Below are 23,745 nucleotides of genomic sequence, written 5' to 3' on the forward strand. Positions count from 1 at the left end.
TATATCTGTTTTGGTACCAGTACCATGCTGTTTTGGTTTCTGTAGGCTTGTAGTATAGTTTGAAGTCAGGTAGCGTGATGCCTCCAGCTTTGTTCTTTTTGCTTAGGATTGTCTTGGCTATGTGGTGGGTTCTTTTTTGGTTCCATAGGAAATTTAAAGTAGTTTTTTTCTAGTTCTGTGAAAAAAGTCAATGGTAGCTTGATGGGAATAGCATTGAATTTATAAATTACTTTAGGCAGTATGGCCATTTTTACCTAAAAATTCATTTTTAAAAAAAAGCAGTGCTGGGCGTGGTGGCTCACGCCTGTAATCCCAGCACTTTGGGAGGCCGAGGCAGGTGGATCACCTGAGGTCAGGAGTTCAAGACCAGCCTGACCAACATGGAGAAACCCCGTCTCTACTAAAAATACAAAATTAGCCAGGCGTGGTGACACATATCTGTAATCCCAGCTACTTGGGAGGCTGAGGCAGGAGAATCACTTGAACCTGGGAGGTGGAGATTGCGGTGAGCAGAGATCGCACCATTGCACTCCAGCCTGGGCAACAACAGCAAAACTCCATCTCAAAAAAATAAAAATAAAAATAAAAAAGTTAAGTGTCCATTTCTGTTTCCCAAGAAAATTATAAAAGTATGCAGAAGGCTCTAGAGAGGGAAATGAAGTATCTAGAAGAGAAGGGAAGAAAAAAGTTAAATCAAGAGGAGGGTGCTTAAGATGAAGCTAAAAGATGAGTACCAGGGAAGATAAATAGTATCTGAAGGCGGGGGAATTGTGAGATAACTGGTAGCTACAAATTGAATTCCTGATTGCTTGGTGAATTGGGAATGTGACAGGAGGTAAGGCTGCCCTTCTGTAAGGGCAGATCAAGAGTTGTCATGCTAGGGAGACTATTCTGCCTAAAATTCTGGGGTACTATTTTGTGTTTAAGTATGCTATGTATATTAAAAGGGTACATATTTGAAGTGTTCGGCTCTTAGTTTTCACTACTAAACACCTGTGTAACCAGCACTCAGCTTAAGAATAACATTACTAGTACTAGAAATACTTCCCTTGTGCAACTTTCCAAATATTAAACCCAAAAATCCTATGTTCCATAGGGAGGGAAAGATTTGGGACCAGGTTTTTTGGTTGTTTGTGTTTTTTGTTTGTTTTTTAAATTTTCACCTGATTCTTATTAAGTGTGCAAGGACCATGGTTCTTGACCTTCCTTAGATTTGTGGATCTTAATTCTCAGAAAATTGCGCATGGAAAATATTGTGCCAGGGCCTTGTTTCTGTGTAAAAACTTCAAGAGGTCTTTAAAGTAGTACAGTTGAGAGATTATGGTGCTTCAACTAAGGCAGTGGGAATGTGAGAAAGATGAATTTGAGAAATATTTATAAACAGTGAGATTTGGTTGCTAATTGGATGAGAAAACTAAGGAAGAGTAAAGATTCAAAGTCAGTTTGGGTTGTTGGTGCTCTTATTCAATGAGACAGGACAAAAAAAAAGTGTACCTTGTATGGAATGAGGAGATCACTAACATTTTGAATGTGTGTTAGTCTGTCTGTGAGATAGTAAAGATGTCCAGAGGCAATTGCAGATATGGATATGGTGCTCAGGAAAAAGAACTGGGCTAGAAATTGATTTAGGAATTCACCAGTGTTTAGACATGAATGGATTAAGCTTTAAGGAAAGAATACAGCAAGAAAAGAAGTCCAGAGATGGAATCCTAGGGCCTACTTTGTTTAGTGGGTAGGCAAGGTGCAAAGGAGACAGGAATAACCAGAAGTATGGGAAACCCAACATGTAGTGATAACTTCTGTCGGAAAGTGATCCAGAAGCATGCTGCAGAGAGGCTGAGGAAGGGTTGAAGAGTGTCTTTTGGATTTGATAATTAGTCATTAATGGGTTTCTGTAAGAACAGCTTCTGGAGTTAGGAAGAGCCAGTTTTCAGGGGGCTAAATGGTGTCCGGAGAGTAGATCATCAGCTCCCAAATACGGTCAATTCTTAAAAATTATTCTACATTCAAGTAGCAAAAATAATGATAATATAATATCCTTGTTAAAAAAAAGATAAATTGATTATTAGAGATCCTTGTTCTGAAAGTATGCTCTTTCCTAAAAAAAAAAAAAAAAAAACTAAGTCCTTTTTTGAAATAATAGTGATTTGGGAGGATAGTCTGTTACATTTATGTCTTTACTTAAAAAAAATGGCAACCCTTTATTGGTTATTCTTTTTACTTGCTTAATTTTACTGTTCTATAAAGTTAGAGAATAAAAGTAGATTACTCGTCTGTGAGTACAAAGAGGGCTGTAGATGGAGATTAAAGAAAAATTTGAGTGGATAGCCAGTTGAGGGATAGGTTGAAGATAGAGGAGAGCAGAATGAAAGTTGATTAAGTTATTAGATATGCTGAAATGCGTACTAACAGTTATGGAAAGATTTTCTTCAGGGACCTTCTTCAACTTGGGAGAAAATGAAAGAGGACAGATTTGGTGTCTGGTTGGGTGAGGGGAAAATCAAATTCACTTGAGATGACCCATTAAAAAAAAAATCAAATCCATGTTTTGAGGATCAGGGAAGGAAGATGGGTGGACATGGTTAGGCGTAGAGTTAGGTGTCTTGTCAATAATAAAGGTTTGAAGGAGCAGCTGGGGATAGTTGGGATTTTATTTAGAGCCCAGCTGAAGTAAAACTGTTTTAAAAATTATTTTTATTTTTTACTCCTATGGCATCGCAAGAAGTAAAACTATGAACTTAATGAAATTACTCATATTTCTTCTGGGTATTAACATATGAGACAATTTTGAAAGAAAATTGAGCTTAAAGTAGATGAAGCAAATTATTGATTAGATAAAATTTTAAAATGAGCAGGTAAAAGGGGTCTTTGGTGGCAAAAAGAAAAACAGGCAAAAATATTCTATTTCTCTGTAATTTTGATGAGTGAGGCATTTCACATTCATCTGTCTTCCTAAAGGAGGATGTCATCAGCAAATCTAGGGGCACACAGAACACACCTAGTTGAGCACAGTGCTTGCAGAATAAATTTCAACTCCTTTTTTGAAAACAATCCAGTCCAAGTATTCCAATCCTTTTTTTTAAAGTTGCTGTTCCCAGTCAGTATTTGATATATTTGACATTATTCTCCCTCATTCAAAAGTGTTTTGTGGCCCCAGGTGGGTAGTAGGGGTGGGTTGATTGGTTTCTTTAAAATTAAGTCCGTCTATAACCATAATACACAGACAAAGAGAAGAGAGACACATTTGCTTTACTGCACAAGTGGGACAAGATCAATTAACATGTATTTAAAAAATTTAAAAATACCTGCTAGGTGTTATGTCAGTTTGATAGTTGCGTCAAGCAGCCCTTTATCATCAAGGAGACTTGAAGACTTGAGGAATGCATAGTAAGCCACGTGTGTTACATGAGACAGGGGGAAAATCACCTAACTTTCCAAAACACTGAATTTTGATTGTGTGATTTCATTCACACAAATAAAACATGGTGTGTGTGTCTTGCCTGTGTTGTTGCCTATCTGGGAGCCATGCTCTAAGAACAGGTTTCTCATGTTAGTCCACTGGCTGAGGTAAATCCTCACATTACATGACAGTCATTGTGTCCCTGCAACCCAGAAGTGCACTCTGAACAGGACAGAGTAACAGAGCAGGAGAAGGAAAAGTTGTACATAGCTGCAGAAGGTTGCCTTGACCTTGATTATCTTAGGAGGGCAGAATACATTTCTCTCACACTTGAGACCCTGGGCTACTGCCTAGCCCTGGCTGTTCTGAACTGCTCAAAGAATTAGTGCTATGTTTAGAAAATGCCCTATTTTTCTTTTCTTTAAATTATTATTATACCTTAAGTTCTAGGGTACATGTGCACAATGTGCAGGTTTGTTACATATGTATACATGTGCCATGTTGGTGTGCTGCACCCATTAACTCGTCATTTACATTAGGTATATCTTCTAATGCTATCCCTCCCCCCTCCCCCTGAGGGCCCTGAACAGGCCCCAGTGTGTGATGTTCCCCTTTCTGTGTCCATGTGTTCTCATTGTTCAATTTTCACCTATGAGGGGGAACATGGGCTGTTTGGTTTTTTGTCCTTGAGAAAGTTTGCTGAGAATGATGGTTTCCAGCTTCACCCATGTCCCTACAAAGGACATGAACTCATCCTTTTTTATGGCTGCATAGTATTCCATGGTGTATATATGCCACATTTTCTTAAGCCAGTCTATCATTGATGGACATTTGGGTTGGTTCCAAGTCTTTGCTATTGTGAATAATGCCGCAATAAACGTGTGCATGTGTCTTTATAGCAGCATGATTTATAATCCTTTGGGTATATACCCAGTAATGGGATGGCTGGGTCAAATGGTATTTCTAGTTCTAGATCCTTGAGGAATCACCACACTGACTTCCACAATGGTTGAACTAGTTTACAGTCCCACCAACAGTGTAAAAGTGTTCCTATTTCTCCACATCCTCTCCAGCACCTGTTGTTTCCTGACTTTTTAATGATCGCCATTCTAACTGGTGTGAGATGGTATCTCATTGTGGTTTTGATTTGCATTTCTCTGATGGCCAGTGATGATGAGCATTTTTTCATGTGTCTTTTGGCTGCATAAATGTCTTCTTTTGAGAAGTGTCTGTTCATATCCTTTGCCCACTTGTTGATGGGGTTGTTTGTTTTTTTCTTGTAAGTTTGTTTCTTTGTAGATTCTGGATATTAGCCCTTTGTCAGATGAGTAGATAGCAAAAATTTTCTCCCATTCTGTAGGTTGCCTGTTCACTCTGATGGTAGTTTGTGTTGCTGTGCAGAAGCTCTTTAGTTTAATTAGATTGAAAATGCCCTATTTTTCATCTACCACACTACTCAGCCCGGCATGTATGTAAGTCTTTTTGAGAACTAGGTAAAGAATTTTGAGCTTTCATTTGTCCCAAGCACTTGCCTATCAGGTTGCAATGAAACAGACTTTATTAAGATGATAATGGCTATGCTACATACAAGGAATTGTTTGTTGTTTTCTCTTGTCTAAAGATGTCATGTCTACTCACCTACCCGACCGACAAAAGGCCAGGTGCGCTACATTGGATTGCTGTTATAGACACTTAGCTGGCTCCTGGTTCCCTCTTGATCCTCTACATTCTAGAAAGTAATTTTCAGCACTGCTCTTATATTCTTTCCTTAAATGTCATCCACAGTTCCCTATTTCTCATCACTTCAAGGCAAGACTTTCTAAGGTTCTCTGCCCATCCATGTGCCACTCCATTATGGGAAATCAGCCTCACCATTCCAGGTTGATTTCCCATAGTTCTCTCAACACATAGTTTGTACTCTAGTAAGGACACACAATTCATGTTCATTCTCATTCATGAGCCTTTACCTTTCTTCAAGAGCCAGCTGACAGGGAAAACTAATATTTATTCCCTACTTATGTATCTGGCACTGTATATAAAATATTGCCCTCAAAACAAGCCTCTTTTACAGATGTGAAGACTGAGGCTCAGAGAGGCTATGTTTCCCAAGATCACATAACTAATAATAAACTGCCTTCAGCTAATCCTCCCTCTTCCATAAAATATTCCTTCCCTTTTGATCTCAGCATCTAGCCTATGCCACTGCAATTTAGCACATTATTGTACCATTTTCTTTGTTTTCTAACTGCATGCTTGTCTTCCTCATTTCCATGGTAAGCATAGAAGGACCATGTAGTATCTTTACAGTGCTGAGCATACAGTAGGTGCTGCAAGAGTATTTGTTGGCTGATTTTTATGTATGTTATACATATTGATGCCCAGTACTGAGTGCTTTAGATTATTTCAAGAGGCTTAGACTGCTTTCCAGCCAGAATACCATGTTTATATGAGCAGTAGAAAAAGAGCTGTGACTGGCTGTGTTGAGCTTTGCATCACTTCTCTCTCTTAATTCATCCTCTCTTCAAAATGGGCTTTGGGATTGGTAGCATTGCATGAGCCCTCCAGGCTGCATTGAGCATGGGCAATTTATCTTTTACTCTAGAAATGTGGCAGATACTGTTCCAAGGGCAGTTCTCACAATTCTTTATCTGAAAGCCTTGAGGCCATATGTGCTTTGGAAATCAGAATTTTGTCAGATTTTAGAGAGTAAATATATTGTGTAACTCCCTCTGCAGGGTCTCAGGAAGCACCTGCAATCAAGCACATTAATATTGCTGCAACTCATCAAATGGAGTAAAGATGACAGATAGGTTCAGGTCAGATTTTGCCACCAAATAATTTACTAAAACTTATGAGAAAACTTTTGGTCTTCAGAGTTTTTAGATTTCAGAATTGTGAATAAGGGATTGTGAACTTGTTATTGAGATGTATTAACTCATTTATTCTTACGACAATATGTGATCATGTACTTTTTCTTATTTTGGTGAGGAAGAAACTGAACGACAGAAAGGTATAATGTGTCCAAGGTCACATGGCTAGTAAGTGACAGGGCCAGCATTTGAATCTATGCTGTCTGACTCTAGAACCTGTGCTTTGAAGAACCCTGAGTACTCCCACCCAAGAAGACTTTGTAAATCACACTAGCCTAAATCTCACCACCGACTGGTTATGTGACCTTGGAAAACTTCCTTAGCACGCTGGACCCCAGTTTTCTCCTCTGTCACTGTGAGTGACATCTAGACGGCAGCTGGAGTCTTTCATTCCAGCAGGGCTAAGTCAGATGATCTGGAAATCCCATTTCTGCTTTGCCTAAAGCTCACTCTAAGATTGCTGCAAGTTTCTAGAAGCTTATCTTCTCACTGTCACAGTTGTTTTTTGCTTCTCCTAAATTAATTCACATTATGAATCATTACGAATCATCTCAGTATATTGTTTTTATAAAGCATGCTGTAGACTCAAATGAGAAACTCAGTTCTTCCTCACAAGAAGACAGTATCTTTAGATTGCTTAATAATAGTTCTCCTCCTTCTCAAAAGCCCGTCACCTCCCCACAATTACATATTGCCCTAGCTTCTTTCCTGCCTCCTCCTTTTCCTTCCTTTCTCATTTCTTCCTCTCTTCCCTCATTTTCTTGCCCATTCCCTTCCTTCTTCCCTCTTCCCTCTTCAGAGTAAAAACAAATTCCTCTTTTTATTCTTTCCACAACTTAGTCATTTGTGTGTGTGTGCGTGTGTGGCCTTGGCTCTTGATAGCTTCAAAATGTCTTCTTCTCCCAGTGACTTATGAACGTATTTTCTTACACACAGGCAGTATCCTCTCTATGAATTCCTTTCCTTTTTGTTCTCCTGTAATGTCCAACCTAAATGCCATCTCTCCCTTTCCTACACCCAGACATCTGATTCTACACCCTGACTCTCCATCCCACTTACCAACCCCCAGTCAATGGTTTGTGTGTTTCTTGCTTAGCTATTTAAGCTTAATTGTCTGGTGTGCCCTAAAGCTGAAATTTCTCTATTTTTCATGTCTAGTACCAGGTTTTAGTTTTAGTAGGTGTTTAATAACTACTAAAGTAAATCTGAAAAAGTAACCAAAGCTGGGAAGTCACTAAATACTCACTCAGTAATCACAGCGAAATTGAACTCTGTAGCCTTGTAAAACACTTGTCTGCATATTACCGTGAAAGGAGGAAATTACTGGGATTAATATTTCAAAGACAACAGTAGTCCCTTAGTAGGGAAAATATATCAGATGATAGCCAGGAAAATGCATTATATAAATCCTCATTCCCAGTAAAATGTAATTCAGCCTTGACCAAAATATATAAGTAACTCATCCTTGATTATAAATTCATGGTTAACTGATAAGAATCTGAGAGGTTTCTTTAGATACCTCTTAAAATATCTAAAGAATTCAGCGATGCTGAGTAGGATCTAGATAAAAACTATCTGGCAGAAAAGCTTTGTCTCACAAGGTGTTACCTACCTGCTTTTAGGACAGCTTGGCACATAGTAGGAGATGAAGTGCTTGATGATTGACTGAAATGTACAAGGAGAAATGTACAAGACTACACCACGGGTGGCAGAGATATTGAACACAGCCTGTCACCTTGCCCTGTAAGATCTCTGGCTGTGTATCCACTTTTTGAGCAAGAGACTTGAGTTCAGAAGACCTGAATTTTAATCTCTCAGCTCTGCTATAAATGTGGGATCCTCAGTAAGTAATTTTACTTCTCTGGACTTGGTTTTATCACCTGTAAAATGAAAACCGTGGGCTTAATAGATCTCTCATATAGGCTTGAGTTGCTTGTATGACTGTCTGTAGTTGTTTTTAGAAAAGTAATGACAAGTACATGGAAATAAATATTCAAATACTGTAGAGGGCAGGTAATAAGGAAATGTCATCTTTCCTGTGCCCTGACTCCCAGGTCTTTCTCCCAGGTCTTAGAGTAAGCCCCTTTGGCTAATTCTGTCTTATTCCTCTAAATAATATGTTAAGTCTCTGTTTCTTCATTTGTTAATCTACACAATACCATTTGTCTTTGTATTATTCAAGGTAAGAAATTTAGCATACTACCATCAATATTTTAATTTTAGATATATATTTTTATGATTTACATCCATTTCTTTTATTACTTAAATAGAATTAAAGCACTATTTCTTAACCCATCAGTTTTAAGTAGTATTCCTGACTCTCTTTGCTTTCTTCCACTTCTCCTCCCCCTTATATTTCCTAGCTTCTGTCAGTTAAATCATCACTTTTATATTGTCCAAAGTTATAATATTTAAATTCTCTTTTATAACTCTGGTTGTCTTAAGTGCTGTAACTATAGGTTAATTCTGAAAATTGAAAGTCAATACAGTATCATTATGTGAATATTATTTACTGCAAAACTACGAAATATGCCTGGACGTGCAGATGACAAGGTAGTCCTGTTTCACCAAACCTGGGCCACTTGAACAAGAATGCTCCAAGCATTGAAGTCACATTAATTCTCTTATTATACTCCACAAGTTGCTCAAAATCATTCTACATTTTTAGCTGGCTTCGTATTGTGAATGGCTTTAATTTTCAAATACCCTCAAACTTGAAATTTAGATTGGTAGTTCTCAAACTTGACTGTACATTGGAATTACTGAGGGAGCTTTAAGAAATCTAATAGTTAGAGGATCCCAAGTCTAGGGTTTCTGATTTAATTGAGCTGGGGTGTGGCCTGAGCATCTCAGTTTTTAAAATTTTGCGGCTTGATTCCAATGACTAGCAAGAGTTGAAGACCTTTACTGTTGAAACCCAGTCATGTCTAGTAGAGTCAAAAGTAATGAAATACACTGAGTCTTTGGACAGCAAGAGCAGAAAAGTGAAACCCGATAGCAGCTGAAGGTTTATAGAATATTTATTTCTTTTTTGGTTGCAGCTATCTCCTTCCCAACCTACCACTGCTAAGACTGTTTCATAAGATGCACTTCTCTACACTCAGCTAATGAGGTGTTTCAATCAGCAGTTGTTCTTTGGATGAGGAGCCGATATTGTTTTAAAGCCTATTATTTTCTTGGGTGGGTATTCTGGAGCATGGGGAGCTGAAAGTGTTGCAAGGAAACTGCTGTGTGAAATTTGATCAGGTCCTTGGTATTCATTTTTATGTTTCAATAACTGATTTATTTTTTCCCCCTTGTACTTAAGATTTAACATGTGTTGTATTTCCAGCAGTTCAAATCTAATTGTGTCGAATTTCCAGGATTGGAGGAAAAGTTGCTCCCTTTCAGCCCTCCTACTAGAAGCACTGGAGCTAGGCTGGCGGGCATTGGACCCTAGTAGGTATAGCAGGCTGTGAAGAGCGACTGGGTGGAAGCAGCCCCAGAAGAACCCGTGTGAACATACTGTCCTTTGGCCGCCTGGCAGTTAGCCTAGAAGACAAATATGAGAGAGGAGACTGGTTAGAGTAAATGTGACCCCACCTTGACCCTGTCTGCCTCTCATGGGAAACCAGTCAAACCTTCACTCAGATTTTCTTCTTTTTACAGCAATGTTGCTGAATATTGCTGGGGATACCATCCCCTTCTATAAAGTATCTCCCCTTTTTATCCCAGTTTTCTGAGCATTTCTTTGGTAAGCTTGAGGTTTGTGTCAGTTACTGGGGAAATCTCTGTTCAGTACCAACAATATTGCAGCAACAGTACTAGAAACTAAAGTTGAAAAATTTCTCACTAGTATAGTACACTATACCAAAAGAAAAACATGTTTATTTTAAAAACATTTCCATTTTCTACCTATATTGGTCTAGAAGAATATGTAATTTTTATTTAGTTATTGTAGTATCATTTGCTTTCCTGTATACATTCCAGTTAAAGATAAATTCAGAATTATGAAACTTACGACAATATTTGAATGTCACTCAGTGGTACCACTTCTTCCAGTCAGTGTTGCTATTGTCTGTTCTCTCCAGGACTTATTTCTACATTTTACATCAATGGTTCTCCAACTGTGTTTCATGGTCTACCAGCATCCCTTAGGAACATGTTAAAAATAGAAATTCCCTGGCCTTACCCCTGACCTACTGAATTAGAAACTCAGTGGGTGAGACCCATAATCTGCATTTTTAACAAGCGCTTCAAGTGGGGGTAGGGGAAATGAAAAGAGGTTGGTAATGGGTACAAAAATACAGTTAGGCAGAAGGAATAAGTTCTAGTGTTTGATACAACAGTAAGATGACTATAGTTAACAATGATTTATTACATATTTTAAAATAGCTGGAAGAGAAGATTTGGAATGTTCCAAACCCAAAGAAATAATAAATATTTGGAGTGAATACCCTAATTATCCTGATTTGATCATTATACATTATATGCATATATAAAAAATCACAGATACCCCACAGATCTATACAATTATTGTGTGTAAATATAAAAGATCATGACAACAAAACCAAAATCACCTTCAGGTGATTCAGATCCACACTGGAGCTTGGGAAGCACCATCCTTGATGATAAACTCAGCTTCCCTTCTTCTGTGTGGATGTCCCTGATGACCTGCGCTTTCACAATCCCTCCATCATGTAAGCTAGGTCTCCTCAGTCCATCAGCCACACAGCAGCACTGCTGCACCCTGCTTTCCACAGTCAAGGTAAAGCACTACTTTGAAAATCTGATACCTCTCTTATGCCTGTGAGATGATGATTTAGCTTCCCTGGGGCCTTCCTTCCCTTTAGGGCCTCATCACCACACTTCTGACTACTCTTGATTCCTTGCCTAGCTTCCTCTATGGTCAGCAAGCTAACAGAGGCTATCGGTAAAATTTGTCACTCTTCTACCTTCCTATTAAACTTTCACTCTTCTACCCCGCTATTTTGCGTTCTGAATCTTCCTGCATGCTTTAGACTGCTGTTAGGAAAACTCAGGAATGAAGCTACCACACACTCACTCTTATTTCAGCTGCACATTACCTGATGCTTGGCTATGTCTGGCCATAACGTCCGATCAATTTCCTAGCAAGTTCCTTTAACTGCTTTTCTACGCTTTCCGACTGTCAGTATTGAAATTTCCATTTCTTCATCATTCTCAGCAGATACCCTCAACTGTAATCAGTCATCAACTGCTACATCTCTTGACTTATATAGAGCTGATTCCAACTGTATTCTCTTTTCTGCCTCTTCCCTCCTTTTTGTCTTACACCAGCTGTGCCACCTATGCTTAATATTGAGTCTCATGCAGTCCTGCTCCTCTAAGTTCTTCTCCACTCAATTATCCCCACTCTCCTCATCTTTACTGTCTCCTCTGGCTCCTCTTTCTTTACATTTAAACATGCCAAGCTCTCTCCTATTTGGCTAAACTCCAAGCTTCCTGGAGGACATGGCTATGTCTCATTTGTTCACCCCAGTTCTTGGCTCATAAAGCGTATTTTAAAAATTTTGGTTATTATTTGAATAAAAACTTTGTTGGTCCTCATTTCTCCTGGCAACCTTTCTGGGTCTTTTTCTGAAAAACTTCTTGAGTGGGCACCTTTCCTTTCCTCTTTATTGAAACTGTTTCAGTGAGGGTCACTGGTATGCTCCTAAATGCCAATCTCAGGGTCTTTTCTTGGCCTTTCTTTTGAATCTCTCTATAGCATGTTATTATTGGCCCTTTGAAATTGTTTACCCGGCTGGGTGTGGTGGCTCATGTCTGTAATCTCAGCACTTTGGGAGGTTGAGGTGGGCAGATCACCTGAGGTCAGGAGTTTGAGACTAGCCTGGCCAACATGGTGAAACCCCATCTTTACTAAAATATACAGAAATTAGCCAGGTATGGTGGCGCATGCCTCTAGTCCCAGCTACTTGGGAGGCTGAGGCAGAAGAATTGCTTGAATCCAGGAGGTGGAGGTTGCAGTGAGCCGAGATTGTGCCACTGTACTCCAGCCTGGGTGACAGAGTAACACTCCATCTCAAAACAAACAAACAAACAAACAAATAAACATGAAAGAAAGAAATTCTTCTGTCTTTATTCCCAGAATGCTTGGTTCACCCTACAATATAATCGCTGCTTTTCTTGGTTGCTTCTCTTCTTCATCTTCCCAAAATAAAAAGTATCCTAGGTTCAGTTCTTGGTCCTCTTATCTCCTTCCCTCTGAAGTGTTTCTGTTGAAATTGTCCTTCAGTCTCCTGTCATCAACTATACTCTAGTGTGGATAATTCAAAATTCTCTCTAGCCTCAATCCTCATACTGACCTCTACTGCCACATTTTCAAATGCCTAATAGACACTATCGGTAGATACCTTCTTGGCCCAAAGAAAACAATGCTTCTCCGTGTTGGAAAGTCAAGCCCCAAATGTGAACATCATCAAGTAGATAAGAGGTGGCAGCATCTTACCATGGCCCGCTTCATAAAAGCCTCCTGGGTTGCCTCCTTGTTTGCAGCCTTGCCACCCCAGGCAGCCAGTGCACTGGCCTGCAGGGCCCGTCCATAAGAGAAACTTAGTTTCCAGGGCTTTGGTAGAGGGCAAAGGTTGATAGCATTGAGGTTGAGAGTGGCATCCTCTTCACTCATGCCACCAGACAAAAAGCAGATGCCTGGTAGGAGAGAAGCCATTTCACTCTATTAGTCCCACCTTATATACCCTGCTTGAGAAAGCAAGCAATGAACCTACCAGAAAAGTAATGTCTCAGTCTTTTCTCTGCTTAATTTGCCTTAAAGCAAACTGAGAAATCAGTTTGCTTTTGCTGAAGCTAGTTGGGCTAGAGATAAGTGCTTTAAATACGTAAGGAAGGCAGTGAAATGTTGAAGAAATACATGGATTGTGGGCATTTGGGCAGACTTGGGATGCTTGGTATTCTGAAGTGGGAGAAGAAGTGCTGGCTGCCTGTGAGATAACAGAGGTTTGTTTCATGAATAGAAGCAGATTTCTGGACAAACAGAAAGCTTGTGGCTCTCCAAAGAATGAGGGCTAAGACCTTGAGTTAGAGAAGAAAGAAGGCCTTACCAGGAACAGCTGCAGGAACAGTACGGTGGAGAGCTGTTACGGTGGCCATAGCTACTTGTTCTGGAGTATACTTCTTGGTGCAGGCATGTCCAGCAGTCACCATGTTGGGCTTTAGCAGGGTGCCCTCCAGGTAAACATGATGGTCATTCAGGGCCTTGTAGACAGCAGCCAGGACCTGAAGGACAAGAGGTCCCACCAGGTGAAACTCAAAGCTAGTCATAGAGCCACTTGACCTTGGCACATTTACACTGCAGGGAGGCAGGATGAAGGAATTCTTATTTGTTGCTTGGCAAAAGCTTCTGAACCAATCTCCAGGCCTCATTAGACCAATGTGTTGCAATCCATAGCCACTGAGCACAACTAAACTGGCCTGTCTTCATCACCCCTAATCTAGCTTCTCATTCACTGCATGAATGACAGGCATGGCTCTGCTTCCTAGAAGCCCTTCATTCCTTTATTTCCATTACTCCCTTGGTCAATGTCATTCCTTATTGAGACTGCATTGCTTTAGCTATTTGGGGTCATCTAAACGGGCCTCCACTGTCCATGTTTACAGAAGCTGAGTAGTCATAGAATCATACATTTTAGAGGTGGAAGTGCTCTTAGATTGCATTTCAGTCCACATAATTTTCCAAGTAGAGAAACTAAGGTCAGGTGACATTATGACTCTCCTACTTTCTCACAGTGTATGAATAGAACCACCCTCTTTCAGATCCACTGTGGCTAATTTAGAAAGTCAGATGGAATAAAGTACTTTCTAATTACATCTTCTCATTTGAGCCACATGTCTTATTTTAAAATTTCTTTGTGTACATGTAATTGAATTGAAGTCAAAAGAGATAATATGACTTGCCCAAGATCCCACAAGTGGAAAAGCGGATTCTCCAACCCAAGTCTTGGTACTGCAACTCCTGTGCTTTTTCTATATGGAGTATACCATGTGCCAAAAAGGTGAAGGGCTGATGAGCACCTCCCTACCTTCTCTATGCTATCCATCCTAAAGGCTACTTCAGATATAACAGCTGTTATATGTTAAGTAACAGCTGTTACCTAAAACTAAGATTTTTCAACTAGAATTGGGGCCTTCATATTTAAAACTTACCTTCTCAGTAACATACTGGCAGTGTTCCAGGTCATGGTCTCCATCAGGAATTACCTCTGGTTCAACAATAGGTACCAGTCCATTCTAAAAAGGAAAATCAAGGAAGCAAAAGTGAAGCTGTGCTCACTGTTATCCTTTCCTTAGGAGGAGATTCAACAGTTGCAATTGGTATAAATTGAAGCCATTATGGAGAAATACTACATAGATGACTTAAAGACAGTAGAATTTTTCAGAATGAGATAAAAAATAAATACAAACCCGTAATTACTGTATTTCTTTCTAGAGATTATTCTAGCTGCCTCAGAACCTAGCTACTGCCTTTTTAGGGCATCTAAGCATAAATCATTAAGAAAGATGTCTCTAAGTTGGGTTAATGAAGAAATTCAAGCAGTGTTTAGAGTTCTAATTGGGGATCTCCAGCTGTCCACAACTCTAGTAACCCCAACATAGTACTCACAGAAGAAAATCAAACTTAACTCGGACCCAGAGACATTTTAGTATGTGTTGGAAACTTTAGCATCTGGTCACCATCCTCCAAAGAATTATTTGGATTGGAACTCGGTCAGAGCTGTCACTCTTCAGCTAGGAATCTAAGAGGATCATGTCTTGGATGTTACGGAGTATAGACAACCAAGTTCCCTGCCCTCAAAAGCCCGATCACTTATAAGACAGCTTATGGAGCTTTGACAGAGGGCAGCAGTTGATGGCATTATCCTTTGAACTCATAGCTTAGTTGGACTCCTACTGGCTTGTGGGACCAAATCTTTCCCTACCACAGTTGGCTATAGCAAAAGTTGTGAAAAATGCCACTAGGATATACTGGTGAGGGAAAAGGAGGTCCATTTGTAGTTATAGTATAATTGAAAAGAAAAGCTCTGAAGAAAACTCTAGCCTACTCTTTTTCAGCCCAAGGGGAAGGCAGAGCACCTGCTGACAGATGCTGGCGTAGCGAGCCAGGGCGTTGGCGTTTTCCTGGATAGCGAGGCTGGATGGACACTGGTCGGCAATCCTCAGCACAGCACGCCACTTCCCAAAGTCAACACCATCTTTCTTGTACTGAGCACAGCGCTCTGAGAGGCCATCAAGCCCTGCAAGTCACAAAAGAGAGAAAGGCTTCTTTGTACCTTTGTACCTGATCCATGGGGCTTCTAATAAAGGGAAGGAGTTCTCCCTTTGCTTAGCTTTCAATCCACTGTGCTTGAGGATTGAAAACAGCCAAGCATATCAGCATTAATCACAACACTGAACCAGAAGACTTAGATTTAATAAATAGTGTTTTGACATACATACTATCTACTCCATATATAGAATAGAAGAAACCAATAGTTAATATGATACTCATTTTACAAAGGTGGAAACTGAAGCTCCTAATGGTTAAGCAACTTTACCAAGTTTGAATTGCTCAAGAGTGACAGAGCTGGGATTCAAATTCTGCTTAGCTAACCCAATGTTGTGAGTTAATGCTTGTCTACTTGGGCAGAAGTACCTTGCAAAATTATCTAGGTAGCATGTGATAGAACCAGGATTCAAACCCAGGTGTGTCTGACCTCAAAGTGTGGGGACTTTCCACTCTACTGCTGCTAATTTTTTTCTAAAAATAATACTTCCGGGTGCAGAGTTTAATCTTCTTTGTCCAAGGTACTGTGGTAAGCACCTTATGTACATTGTCTAAGTTAATCCCCACAACATTTTGAGAAATCCCCATTTTGAGATAGGAGAACTGAGGCTCACAATATTTCAGTGACTGGCCCAAGGTCACAGTTGTTAAATGGAGGAGCTGGTATTGAAAACCAGGTACGTGTGGCTCTAAGACCAGTGTAATAGTTGTGTTTTGTTTTTCCTTGCTTCCTTCTTTACTTGCCTTCATTTCTAGCTTACACTGGCATGATTCATCTCAGTGGGCAATATCCTTACCTTGAATGGTGGTTTCTTTGTTTGTTCCTGCAAGAGGAGCACCTCCTTGGTCTAACTGTGGATACAAATAATTAACAGGTGTCAGATGTCAGGAAAACACAAGCAGAACTCTTGAACTAACTAACAGTTTGCATCTTTTACAGATCAAGGAGTTGAATTAGTAAAGTGTATTAGTGCGAGGGACCCAGTTCAGTCCATAGCAGAAGGGAAGTTACCTAGAAGGTACACTGTGAGAGTGTCTACCCTAACATTTATTGAGCACCTGCATGCACCAGGTGTTGTGTTAGTACAGGAGGTAAAGAGAATTAAGGATACAACCTCTACTCTCTACATAGCAAAGGCAAAAGTCATGAGCTTGAGAATTAGCCTAAACTGGCTCTGACCTTGCCTTGTTGTGTGGGCAAGTTATGTTACTCTTCGTAGTTCAGTTTTCTCACTTCATCTCTAAATAAGGGTAATAATTGAGTCTACTACCAGAGGTTATGAGAATTAAATGAATGCTTGGAATGGTAAAAACTCTTATTCAATGGATACTAGTTTTCACTTTTGAGAAGTTTATGCACTATTGGAAGACCTAGTTATAAGATAGAATAGTAAATGCTTCAATAATTATGATAGTTACCATTAACAATAATTACGCAATATAAACTTTTTCTTTTCTTTTTTCTTTCTTTTTTTTTTTTTTTAGACAGGATCTTACTCTTTTTTTTTTTGAGACAGGGTCATCCAGGCTGGAGTGCAGTGGTATGACCATAGCTCACTCCAGCTTCGACCTCCAGGGCTCAGGTGATCAATCTTTCCACGTCAGCCTCCTGAGTAGCTGGGACTACAGGCATGCACCAACACATCTGGCTAATGTTTTTGATTTTTAGTAGAGACAAGGTCCCACTGTGTTGCTCAGTCTGGTCTCAAACTCCTGAGCTCAAGCGATCCTCTTGCCTCTGCCTTCCAAAGTGCTGGGATTACAGCAGTAAGCAACCACGTCCAGCCTAGAAACTTTTAGTCATTTCATCCCTGTAAGAACATCATGAGGTAGATTCCCATTTTAAGAAATGAGATTGAGATGCAAAGAGATTAAGAACGTGTAGAAAATTTGAGTGAAAGAAGAGGGCACTGGAGGAAAACTCTAGAAGAGGATCTTGTTCTCTGTGGGAAGATGACGATGGAAAAGGGTGAGAAGAGAAATTTGATGAGGAGAATGTTCAGAGTGTTGGCCCTGTCCTTGCCAGTGTGCTTGGAGTTTGCCTAGGACAAAGCAGAAGTGAGGTGTGAATGGAGGTGTTCACCTTGATTCCCACCACGATCCCCTTTTCCTTGAGGATGTTTCTGAACAGCTTTCCCTGGCTGTCCTTCTGGTAGAGGGTCTCGTGGAAAAGGATCACACCCCCGATGCTCTGGTTGATGGAACTGTCCACAGAGAAGAGGATTTCTCGGAACTGCCGGCGGTTCTCTTCAGTGTTTTCCACCTTGATCCTCTGCAGGCGGTTCCCCATGGTACCTATGGTGGGAGGGCCAAGGGCAGCATAAGGAGCAAGCCAGGGCTTTCCTGTCACCCTTCTCCACATCATCTCAGAGACCCTCACCACAGTGGAAAGCAAGACTTTCTTTTTTCAGATAGTCAAAGCTCCTGCTTCAATTTTTTGTGTTCCAGGGAGAAGACCCTGGTTGCTCTCAGGTGGCTAGTTAGGGAGTATGTGGGCTGGGCATATAGAGGTCAGGGTGGAAGCCACCCTCAGGTCCAGGTGGATATGGAAGGCCCTCAGGCCTCTCTAGCCTCCCTGATCTGGTCCTCAGTCTTGCTGGATGTACATGCAGAAGGAGGGATGGGGCATGCTCTTGATTCTCAGGGTTCTGTGATTTTATGGCAGGCTGTGCAACTCTGCCACAGCTCTCCCTTGTGCCATCCTGAGGTTCTCCCATCCATAAGCCCTGTCCTATTCCAGATGCAGATACTTTCCTGCCCTTCTTGACTCAACTGAATTTAAACTGACTTTAAACTGACTTCTCACTAGTAGCAGATGCCTGTGTATCTGACCTTATGCTAGTTACTAAGTTTCTGGCCTTACTACAAGGCTGGATTCAAATGACCCCTGGCTTAAAATGAAGGGCTTGAGCCTCTTTCCTTGGCTTTCAGGAATGTGCCTACTACTTACAGGACTCAAAAGCTCTACGCTTACTGAGTCTTCTGCTCCCACTCCCGTGTACATAAACCTTTACTTCCATAAAGAATATGATTATCAAGTTGTTTTTGCTAAGTGTAGAAAAAATAATATGTTGTTATATGATGAGACTGCTTTTTACACTCACCTACAGATTCATCTGCAGCCAGGATCCCCTTTCCATTGGCAACAATGCTCTGGGCAATTTCTGAGAGCTCCTTCTTCTGCTCCTGGGTGAGGGCTGGAAATCGGTGGGCCATGGTGACAGGTCTGGAAAAGAGTGTGCGAGAGTTGTGCACAGAACCATGGGTGGCTCAGATGGATGCATGACCAAGACAGTTGGGGGTGCAGACATGCTGTGCAGACCTCTGTGACACCTCTGACCCATTTCCACAGGTGGATAAGCAAATGAGGTTTGTTTTTCCCCCATCACTTATTAGTTGCAATTAGCTGCAATGAATGAAGGTGGGTTACTGAATGTTCATGGTGATCCTAGACAGAATGCTTTCCAGCAGGCCTTTGGAATCACTAATCAAAACACTGAACCAGCTAATTAGTGACCCACTAAAATATGACTAATAGAGGGGACTGCAGTAATGGACTGTCTCTCTATTCTGTGGACTCCTGGTGCCACTGGATTTCCTTAATGGCTTGAGGCCAGGACAATGTCGCTCTTGACCTCTGCAGTTATCCTCTGCTTTGCTCTGTTAGTCTGTAGTTCCAACAGATTATTCTCCAGGAAACAAACTTGAAAGGAGAAATCTATACATAGTCTTAAAGCTAACTTCCATTTGGCCTCGGGCTACAGAGGGTTGGGTGCAAGTTTCCTTTTCCTTATATTCAACCCTCTATGAAACCACTTGGGGCAGACCAGAGAGGATGTTTCCTAAGTGCCTCTGGGCTTGGGTTTCTCACTGCCTATGAGGATGCTAAAGTTGTATGGCAGTCCCTGCTCCAGCTTCACTGCTTTAGCAAGGGGAGACTCTGGCTTGAAGACCCCCTAACCAAGCAGCCTCCACAGTGGTTGTGCTCTGAAGGAGATCGTTGCCCCTGTTCGGATGCCACTTTGGGTTAATCTTGAAAATGCAAGCTCAAAGAGCCCTCACTTTGGGTGTTACAAAGAGTGCTTTTTGCATAGGTTGGGCTACCAAAGAAAAAATGGTAATGAAGATTATCTTGGGTAGCTTCCTATCCAATGCCAGGGTCTCCTCCTTTCTCTAATCTTCTCTCCCTCCAATACACTCAGCACAGGGTGGATGCTCCATGTCTACATATTACTTCCCGGAAGCCCAGGGACACCTCAGGTCTCATCTGATCCATTGGCAATGAGGTAATTATAGCAGGTATTATCTTCATTAATTAATGAGCAAGCTAAGACGTAGAGAAGCTAACTGACTTGTTCAAGGTCCCAGCTAGGATGAAGCAGAGTCCCTATCCAGTCCTGTCCTCATGACAAATATATTTCTCCACATTTTCTGCATCCCTTCAGGGTAGGCTGTCAGTACTCTGTCCCTTGATATAAAAAGTCAGTAGCCACTGAGCTAATTCATGAGAAGGTATAACTGATGATCTCATTGTTGCCTCTCCATTTCAACAGAGGTTCTTGTCTTACCCCAAAAGAATGAAACTGCAATGCTGTTACTGGGGTAATAGGACAAGCTAGTGGGCAACAATTTCTAGAGAAGATGACCTTCTAAGGCCCATTATGTCCCAGCCACCAGCAGAGCATGTTTGCCCTGTTTATATATTAGCTGTAATATTGGAGTCAAAGACTTTTAGCTTTGGACCTGGCCTCCAGATCATCATGCTGAAAAAAGCCAACCTGGGTGTGATCTTCAGAGCAAGGTGCAAACTTTCTCTCTCAGTTTAGGCATTTGTACAAAGGAGTTGACAATTACCAAGAAAGAAAGATATTTTCTTAATGAAACAAAAGGGAAAATCAGCCCAATAATAATAATAACAACAAGTGATCATGTATTGTCAAGCACTCTGCTAATGGCTTTACATGCACTATATAATTTTTCTTGAAAATAATCCCAGAAGGTGGTTGGGCTCTTTTCCCCTCCCATTTAATAGATTAGGAAAGAATATAAGAGAGTGTAAATTATTTATCCAAGGACAAATAGCTAATAAGGCATCAAGTTGAGATAAGGGGCAGTACTCCTTTCCATTCAAGGGAAAGAGTGAGCTTGATGAAAAAAATGGCCTTTGGATGACTCCTAATGTCCTTGATGACACCCCAGAGTACCTTACGCTGTGGGTGATTACACCATGGACATTACTTATTCATAAACATCTGACACATTTATGTAGAGGTTTGCTGCTAGCAGATCAGACAGACCTAGTTTTAAGAACCAGCTCTGCCTAATCTAGCTGGAACCTCAGGCAAGTCAGGCAGCTTCCTGAGTCTCAGTTTACTATGGATTAAATGGTGATAATAACTGTTCTGGTTGTCTCTTTGCCAGGTAACTCAAATGCCATCTATGAGCACCCTGCTCATTGTAGTTGCTCAAAATATATTTGTTAAATTGCATGATAAACATGAAGATTCTTTACAAAGCACTATAAAATGCAATGTATTACTAATTCTCTTTTTTTAATGAAAAAAATCACCTAAGTGACCTCCATTTTTCTGTTTACTGCCTATTACTAAACTATTTTCTTCAATCTGGGTATGCTGACTCAACCAGAATAACAGTGAAAATGATAATTCAAACTAATACTGTTTACAGGGAGTTAAACTTCTACAGTGGGATTAAAGGTCTGTACCACGTTAGCACAAATGTCACCTCTCTGTTAATCATAAAACAGGGTCACAGGCCAATGTTCACCACAAGGAGACAGGAGGACAACCTGGGATGGGTAATGACAAAGAACGATTTCCGTACTCCTAAGCCTCTGCTCTCTCAGATCTCAAGCCAACTTTTTTCAGTGTGATGGAAGTTGTTCACATTATATTATTAAATGAAAAACAAGTTTCAGAGAAGTATGCAATATATACTGTCCTCCTATTTTTTAATTAAAAAATGATATATACCCATACTGTTTTTGTGTCTATATAAACAAAGAGTAACAACTCTGGAGTTACCTCTGAAGAATGGGGTAGGGTGGAGAGATTCTCACATTTCTTTTCTTTTTCTTTCTTTCTTTTTTATTTTCTGAGACAGAGTCTTGCTCTGTTGCCTAGCCTGGAGTGCACTGGCACAATCATGACTCACTGAAGCCTCGTCCTCCTGGGCTCAAGTGATCTTCCCACCTCAGACACCAAGCAGCTGAAACTACAGGCGCCTGCCACCATGCCCAGCTATTTTTTTTTTTATTTTTGGTATAAACAAAGTCTTGCTATGTTGCCCAGGCTTGTCTTGAACTCCTGAGTTCACGCGATCCTCCCACCTTGGCCTCGCAAAGTGCTGGGATTACAGGCATGAGCCACTGCACCCGGCCACATTTCATTTTATACATTCTTTATCACGCACTTTATTACATATGTGTAACAAGTAATATGTATATAAATCTGGAGGAAAGTTGTATTAACAACAGAAGGTAACCACAGAAAAACAGAGCTACAAATGACCTCAGAGATACCTGCGTCAACCCTGTCACTTTAGAGATGAGGAAACTAAAGCCAGAGAGACTATGTCTGATGTGCCTTCTAAGTTGTGATGTTCTAGGATTGCAAGTTACATCCTATTGGCTTATGACTTAGAATTCTATTTCTAATCCTTCAGCAAAATAGCAGGTAGAATCCTATGGTATGGTTCTTTCTGCCTTCCTTGAAGATGTTCTGTGAAAACATAATTATTTGTAACATGGATATTTAATTCCTGGAGAAATAGAAGGCAGCAGAAAGTTCATTTGCTTCTCTATGTACAAGACAAATGGATTTTTAAGGCAAATATGAGGAGGCTTATTTATTGATAGCCCATGATTTCTAGGCACTGCATGCAGCACTTTTGTACATGATGCTTAAAGCTGCCAATAGCTTCATTATCCACCCCAATGTCCCAGTGACAAGTGCAGTGGGATGATCTAGGGCAGTCCTAGGACAGCCTGATTTCCAGTGCCCTTTAACACACGCGGAGCAGCCCAGAACGAGTCCTGAATGGTGCTCTTTCCTCTAAACTTGGAATGAAGCCAAAGGACCTCTTAGATATTCAACATTTCCCCATTCCCTGCCCCAGTATCTCTGGCTCTAACCTGGGCCTGGGTGCTACCCAGATGTGCCTTAGCTAAAGTGATGAATAGCAGGGTAGCAGAGTTCAAGCTCTGGTGCATCCAAATTGTCTAATGGAGCCCTAGGTAACTATTTAAAGAGAAGTTATTTTTTAAAAAGGCAACATATTCTCACAATGCCTATTTTTCAGATAGTAGAGCAAATGTATCAAAATACACAACCTTTTGATTCCTACTATCTTAAGCTGTAGGGTCTTCACAGTGTCTGGGGCCAGCAGGAAATGTTCTAGAAAGTGTCAAACATGAAGGGTTTGGAAATTCATAATCAAATGATGACTATGCTCTGTGAAGTTTCCAACCCTGTTGCATTTCCTCATTTGAGCAGTGGGTGAAGGCGAAGGGCAAAATACTCCAAGGGTTTGTTTCTGTGACAAAGAAACTTCAGTGTCGGTACCAGTAGGTGTGGGAAGAGAATGTAGAAAATGACATAAGGCAGTAGATATGTAAATAAATCACTAAAATAAGTAGTTGTTATGAAAAGAGAGTTGAGAGTTGAAATGAACAGGAATCTCAAAAACTGATTAGAACCTAACGATAGGAGTGTTCAAGTTGTTTTTCCTAGATCAGAGACTCACAAGGGCCTCATTCAGGTAACACAAGTAACTGGCAATCAATCTTGGGCATTTTGCCACCTCTCAAAAAGTCAGGAAAGGTGTGAATGAGCATTTATACTTAGAGAGAGGAAAACAAGCATTTCCCTCCAAGCAGAGCCATCATGTTTTCAGCCACCATCAAGTTTTTCCCGAAAACAAAGGCAAACCAATCTTCCCTTCTATAAGCTTAGTAGTATTATTAACCCCTTATTCACTGGTGCTGTCCAGGTATACAAAGGAAGCTTTTTTACTTACAGTTTGGGAGAGAAGAGTCCTCCTAGATATCAAAAGCTGTGGGTGAGGCAGCAGCTGCCAAATAAGACAGATCTTTGGTAGCACACAATTTTTATAGACTTCTCATCATGTTTTTTTTTTCCAATATTTGCCCTCCCCTT

The 23,745-nt window shown here is 40.6% G+C and overlaps 1 protein-coding gene across 1 annotated transcript, besides 1 other annotated feature; it reads right to left on the bottom strand.

Moving 5' to 3' along the window:
• On the bottom strand, positions 8,457–23,671 carry ALDOB (aldolase, fructose-bisphosphate B). Its single transcript, NM_000035.4, has 9 exons — positions 23,606–23,671; positions 18,673–18,794; positions 17,652–17,863; positions 16,366–16,420; positions 15,379–15,539; positions 14,452–14,535; positions 13,350–13,524; positions 12,740–12,939; positions 8,457–9,801 (listed from the first exon to the last, which is right to left on the bottom strand). Exons 2-9 carry the CDS (start codon positions 18,782–18,784, stop codon positions 9,706–9,708), a joined length of 1,095 nt encoding a protein of 364 aa, NP_000026.2. The 5' UTR covers positions 18,785–18,794; positions 23,606–23,671; the 3' UTR covers positions 8,457–9,705.
• Positions 16,034–16,113: an enhancer, noted in NCBI's record as "active region_28725". NCBI's record gives its function as "activates an Ori minimal core promoter by ATAC-STARR-seq in GM12878 lymphoblastoid cells {active_cell/tissue: GM12878}" and the evidence as "EXISTENCE:reporter gene assay evidence [ECO:0000049][PMID:35858748]".

Source organism: Homo sapiens, chromosome 9 (genome assembly GCF_000001405.40).
Source record: "Homo sapiens chromosome 9, GRCh38.p14 Primary Assembly".
Classification (NCBI taxonomy): Eukaryota; Metazoa; Chordata; class Mammalia; order Primates; family Hominidae; genus Homo; species Homo sapiens.

Coding starts and splice junctions, on each gene's coding strand:
- ALDOB (NM_000035.4), bottom strand. CDS start 18,784: ATGGCCCACCGATTTCCAGCCCTCACCCAGGAGCAGAAGAAGGAGCTC. Junction 16,421..17,651: donor GGATCGTGGTGGGAATCAAG/GTGAACACCTCC, acceptor TTGTATCCACAG/TTAGACCAAGGAGGTGCTCC. Junction 12,940..13,349: donor TGTTCCTGCAGCTGTTCCTG/GTAAGGCCTTCT, acceptor CTCTCCTACCAG/GCATCTGCTTTTTGTCTGGT.